The 5,875-nt window shown below is 38.9% G+C and overlaps 1 protein-coding gene across 1 annotated transcript; it reads right to left on the bottom strand.

Moving 5' to 3' along the window:
- Positions 1 to 3,815: 3,815 nt before the first annotated feature.
- On the bottom strand, positions 3,816 to 4,987 carry OR6K6 (olfactory receptor family 6 subfamily K member 6). Its single transcript, NM_001005184.2, has one exon. It carries the CDS (start codon positions 4,817 to 4,819, stop codon positions 3,860 to 3,862), a length of 960 nt encoding a protein of 319 aa, NP_001005184.2. The 5' UTR covers positions 4,820 to 4,987; the 3' UTR covers positions 3,816 to 3,859.
- Between the last annotated feature and the right edge of the window lie 888 nt (positions 4,988 to 5,875).

Below are 5,875 nucleotides of genomic sequence, written 5' to 3'. Positions count from 1 at the left end.
GCCATGATTCATGTTTGGACAGTAGGATTTTGAAGTTCTTAGTCTTAGTGAGACCTTAGGTCTACTCTAATAAAGAGAAGCTTTCTCGTTATTGGAACTAGTTAACACTGGGAAGGCCACCTTAGTTAAATGTTCAAGCAGAGGCTAAATTACCTTTTTTGTCATATGCTGATGAGGAGTTCATATATTTAGGTGTAGAAAAAAATAGATGTCTTTTTTTAACTTTTATTCTAAGTTCAGGGGTACATGTGCAGGTTTGTTACATAGGTAAACTTGTGTCATAGAGGTTTGTTGTACAGATTGTTTCATGACCCAGGGATTAAGCCTAGCACCCATTAGTTATTTTTCCTGCTCCTCTCCCTCCTCTCACCCTCAACTTTGTGAAACGTTCCAATGTGTGTTGTTCCCCTCTATGCGTCCGTGTGTTCTCATCATTTAGCTCCCACTTGTAAGTGAGAACATGCAGTACTCGGTTTTCTGTTTCTGTGTTAGTTTGCTGAGGCTAATGGCCTCCAGCTCCAACCATGTCCCTGCAAAGAATATGATCTCATTCCTTTTTATGGCTGCGTAGTATTTCATTGTGTGTATGTACCACATATTCTTTACCCAGTTTGGCATTGATGGGCATTTAGGTTGATTCCATGTTTTCACCATTGTGAATAGTGCTTAAATGAACATACACGTGTATGTGTCTTTATAATAGAGTCATTTATATTCTCTGGGTATATATGCATCTGACAAAGGTCTAATATCCAACATCTATAAGGAACTTAAACAAATTTACAACAGAAAACAAACAGCCCCGTTAAGAAGTAGGCAAAGAACATGAACAGATACCATCTCACACCAGTTAGAATAGCTATTATTAAAATGTCAAAAAATAACAGATGGTGGCGAGGCTGTAGAGAAAAAGGAATGCTTATACACTATAGATGGGAGTGTAAATTAGTTCAGCCATTGTGGAAGACAGTGTAGTGATTCTTCAAAGACCTAAAGACAGAACTAGATGTCTTCCAAGATAACTTCAGGTTCAGAGCAAATGAGGAAAAATGGCTATTCTTTTACACAGATGACCTTAAGGAAAAAGTAAGAACATCAAACTAATAGGAGAGAGCCTTATACTGAACAAGGGCTGGGACTAAGAAGAAGTTAAGGGGGGTACCTGAAAATAAAGTAATGAAGGATCTGGATAGACTTATTATTTTAGCCTGGCTCATATGAGTTCTGCTTCCACTTGGGTGGCAAATTTTCCATTCTTTACTCCTTCTCCGTCTGTTTTCTTAGGCTGATATGTGCACTGCTTATCATTGACATCAAAGGCTGCCCCTTCTCACTCTATCTCCTTTCTTCCCACAGGCCTTGATCCACTGATTCTCTCAGCCAGCCCAACCTGTCAATCAGTTGGTGCACTAACTTTTCTCATGTAAAAAGAAGTTCATATTTATTAAATAGAATTGTTGATGATAAATGAGATAATACATGTTAGGAAATTGTTAAAAATCAGTATTAAATAGCCTCAGCACTAGAAATGATCTTAGTGATCATCCAGCCCAGCTGTTCCTAAATCAAGAACAAAGCTTGGATAGTTGACAGATAATCTGCAGAATTATATACTGTGTTCCAGCAATCAGAAAGATGAGAAAACGTTTCTGCTATCTGTGGACCCCTACTTAGTCTAATGAGAGATGTGGGACAAACAAAACTATATTAATAGCAAGAGAAACAAAAAGAGAAAAGTCATATCAAAATAAGGGCCAATATTGGTCCTAAAATCAGTGCCAGAGATATTAGTGTGAGGAATCTTTCTTGAAGACTGCAGTAATTTGGAACCAGGTTGAGAAGCTGGAGGCAACAGTAGTAAAAATAATTATGTCTGAGGTTCAGTCGTAAAGGTTAAGGATACCTTTGTGAAAAGAATCAATGTGCAGGGTTGAGAGAGAGAAGAGAATAAAAAAGGGTACCATCTAAAGAGGTTTCAAACACACACAAAAAACTTCAGAAGGTTTAGAGGAAATAAAATGGCCTGGGAACAATGAGTCCATAGGGATTATCCTGTCTCATGACAAGAAAAACAGTAAATTTTATGGGTAATGACATTCTCATTAATAGCAGCGATAATGACTCATTAGACTCCGAGACCTCCAAAGCCAAGACCATTCATATGATAGCCACTAAGTGAATGCTCTGCACCTAACAGGGTGCCTGACATAGAGTTCCTACTCAAATTTTTAAAAAATAAATAAATCTTGATGACTCAAGGAATAAATTCTTTCACCACTTAATGTACGATAATTTGTAATTACATTTACTTATTGAATACCGTATTTCCTTTAGAAATTTTATTAAGTTTAGTGATTAGGATGAAAGCCTGTGAACTAGGTATGAGATCATGGTCAATAAAGACATGGATCTGGAACCAGACATAATGAATTTCTGCCTTAGATTCATAATAATTATCTCTGTGTACTTGGACTAGTTATTGCAGCTCTGTGTACCATGTTTCTCATGTAAAAAGAAGTTCATATTTATTAAATAGAATTGTTAATGATAAATGAGATAATACATGTTAGGGAATTGTTAAAAATGAGTATTAAATAGCCTCAGGACTAGAAATGATCTTAGTGATCATCCAGCCCAGCTGTTCCTGAATCTTACCCATCATCTGAATTTTCTGGGAGATTTTTAGAAATGCAGATGGCCAGGCTTCACTTTCAGATTTTCTGAACCACAAATGTTGACAATCAGTTTGAGCAATCACTGATCTAATCCAACCACATAATTATAGAGGAAGCTGAAGGCCAGCAAATTAAGTGGATCATCCAAAATGGCACAACTTAGTGTCAGAAAAAGGTATAAAATACAGTCCTTAAATCTCTTTGTCCCATAGTCTTTCCATGATGCCACAATCACGTGAGGGCTGGGGAATTCATGGAGGAAAGAACCATTAACTCCTAGGACTCATTAAAAACTGGTAAGGTTTCATTAAACTTTGGGGAAAAGAAGTTTGCATAATTTAGTTTTTTGAACATCAAGTAATTTACACAAAATTATATATTTAATGGAGACAGAGAATACAGTAGAGTACCTAAGGTTAAATCCCAGCTCTGTCACTACGTATATGACCTTAGGCCAGTCTTTAACTTCTGTGAGCTTTAGTTTCAACATTTAAATAATAGTGATCCCTGACCTATTTACTTCAGGGTATTTTAGATTTCAAGAGGATTTATACCTGTGAAAATATTTTAAATAGTAATGTGCTCAAGACATATAGTGGACTGTTATTGTTATTAATTTTGGTGGAACCTCTTGGGGTCTAAAATTCTGTAACACATCATGTACAAAATCAGTTCACGTTTGCTGAAATGAGTTTGGGAATTAAATGAGCTAAAAGTAGAGAAGACCTCTCTCTAGTATCAGGAAACGATTTATTTATATGGAATGCCAAATGACAGGGGATGCATTTCCAGAAAGGGAATTGGGGAAGTTAGCAGTAGCAATTCTCAGAACTTTCTTGTCTGTCATGCCTCTTCTATTCTGCTTCCCGGCCCCACTAGCATGTCAGAGCACTGAAGAGACTAGCAGGGGCCTAGCTGCTGGAGTGCGAGGAGGAAGCCAACCTGTGTTAAAAGCAAGAGAGTTGATCTATACTGCTTCAGCTATAACAAGCATGGTAGAGGCATTGATGTAAACTGGCCATCCACTTACCATCCACAGCCTGTATACAGCAGTTTATCATTCTTTTTAAAAATAATAGAACAAGTAGTTGCAGCAATACAGAAAGAGGATAGACATGGAAAAGATAAATAACAGTGAAATTTTGCTCTTCCAAGAGGCTTTTTAGAGTCTCCAGGATCTGTATCTATTTCCCAGCCCAACCAGCCCTCTTCTGATAGTGGAAAAGCCTTCCAATAGCCTCTTTCATGTCCTTGTTTTTCAGGCTATAGATGATGGGGTTGAAAAAGGGAGCAAGGATAACAAAAGTGACAGCAATTGCTGTGTCCCAAAACACTGAGTAGGTGGCTGAGAATCTCAAATACATGACAGCCACACTGCCAAAAAATAGCAAGAACACAGCAAGGTGAGCAGCACAGGTGGAAAAGGCCTTGTGATGACCTTCAGCTGAGTGCATTCCCAGAATCACTATAATAATCCGGATGTAGGATAGAGCAATGACCAGGAAGGAGGCTACAATTTCCGCTGCATGGATGGCATCCACAATGACCACTAGGAATGTATCTGTGCAGGCCAAGCTCAGCACAGGTGTGAAATCACAGAATATCTGGTGGATCTGGTTGGAGCCACAGAAAGGCAAGGTGGAAATCCATGCAATCTCAGGAAGCACAAGGAGGAAGCCACAAAAGCAGGATCCAACTGTCAGCTGGATACAAAGTTTGGGAATCATGATGGTTGGGTAACGGAGTGGATTGCAGATAGCTATGTACCTGTCAATGGCCATTGCTGTCAGGACACAGCTTTCTGTGATACCAAGTGAGTGGAAAAAGTACATCTGCAGGAGGCAGCCAGCCACGGAAATGCTCTTCTGCTCACTGATTAGGCAGGACAGCATCTTGGGGATGGTGGTTGTGGTATAGCAGATCTCCAGGAAGGAGAGGACACTGATAAAGAAATACAAAGGGGTGTGCAGGGCCATGCCCACCTGGATGACAATGAACATTATTAGGTTTCCAGTTAGGATAAATCCGTAGATGAGAAGCAAGGGAATAAAGAATAAGAGGCCACCTCTGTGCGCATGCGGGAACATAGAGAAGAGGAACTCAGTCACCATTGTCTGATTCCCACTGGCCGTCAACTGTGTCATCTGTGAACACAGAAAAGGAAACAAGAGACTCCTATAATTGGAATGTTGATTACCCACTGAATATTGCTTCATTCCTTTCTGTAATGAGTTACTCAAGCTGATTCTGGAATCCTGAAGAAACCAGTTAGAAATATCTCTTAAGCTTTACCTCCATGCCAAAATCATCTGAAATACTTGCTGTTGGACCCCTGAATGACCTTTTTTTTTTCTAGTAAACATCTTCAACTGATGTGCAAAAAGCAAAGCAATACTCAAATTTCATTATCTGGAAATATTTTCTGTAGGTTTGGTCATTTTTTAACGTCTGTCTGTCCCGGGTGTGAGGTGAGAAAGCTGACATGGTTTCTTCAATAGGTCAAAAGCAGATACAAATAAATGCATTTCAGACTAGGAAAATTAATTATTATTATTATTTTTTGAGATGGAGCCTTGCTCTTATTGCCCAGGCTGGAGTGCAATGACTCAATCTTGCCTCACCACAACCTCCGCCTCCCGGGTTCAAGAAATTCTCCTGTCAGACTAGGAAAATTAATTTTTAAAGGATGCCTCTGCCTTGCACCTTAAACTGTGAGGAAGGTAGATAGGAGAGGCAGGCTTTGGAAGGAAACAAGCAACAGTGCGCCACAGAAAGGCAGAGCTTCCAAGGGGAAAAGTGTAAGATATTGGAGTTTTCTTCTGACTAAAATATCCACTTCTCTGTCCTTCCTGTGTTTTTCTTTTCTAAGCAATTGAATAATCGTGCTGAGTAGTCATTATAGAGAATATGGAAGGACAGAGAAGGAAACACAGGGCTATAACAAAATACAAGAAAATAGGTGCTAAGTGGCTAATAAAAGCCAGACAGAGTGACTACTTTGTTGCTGTACGCACGGGGCCCTTCTCAGTAGTAAAGCTGCATCATTATTCATCATCGGTACATTTATTCAACTAACACTCATATATCGATTGATCTTCTGCTATGTGTCGATGATGCCATAGGTTCAAGGGCTATATAAAGGTAAATAAATATTATTCTTGTTCCTGAAATACATAAAGAACCATCAATAAAATCCTACT

The sequence above is a fragment of the Homo sapiens genome, chromosome 1 (assembly GCF_000001405.40).
Source record: "Homo sapiens chromosome 1, GRCh38.p14 Primary Assembly".
NCBI classification, from domain to species: domain Eukaryota; kingdom Metazoa; phylum Chordata; class Mammalia; order Primates; family Hominidae; genus Homo; species Homo sapiens.
Note: the sequence above shows the minus strand (reverse complement) of the source record. Positions and strands in the feature narration are given on the sequence as shown.

What these genes read in the sequence shown, in the direction of transcription:
- OR6K6 (NM_001005184.2), bottom strand. Translation starts at nt 4,819, where the DNA reads ATGACACAGTTGACGGCCAGTGGGAATCAGACAATGGTGACTGAGTTC.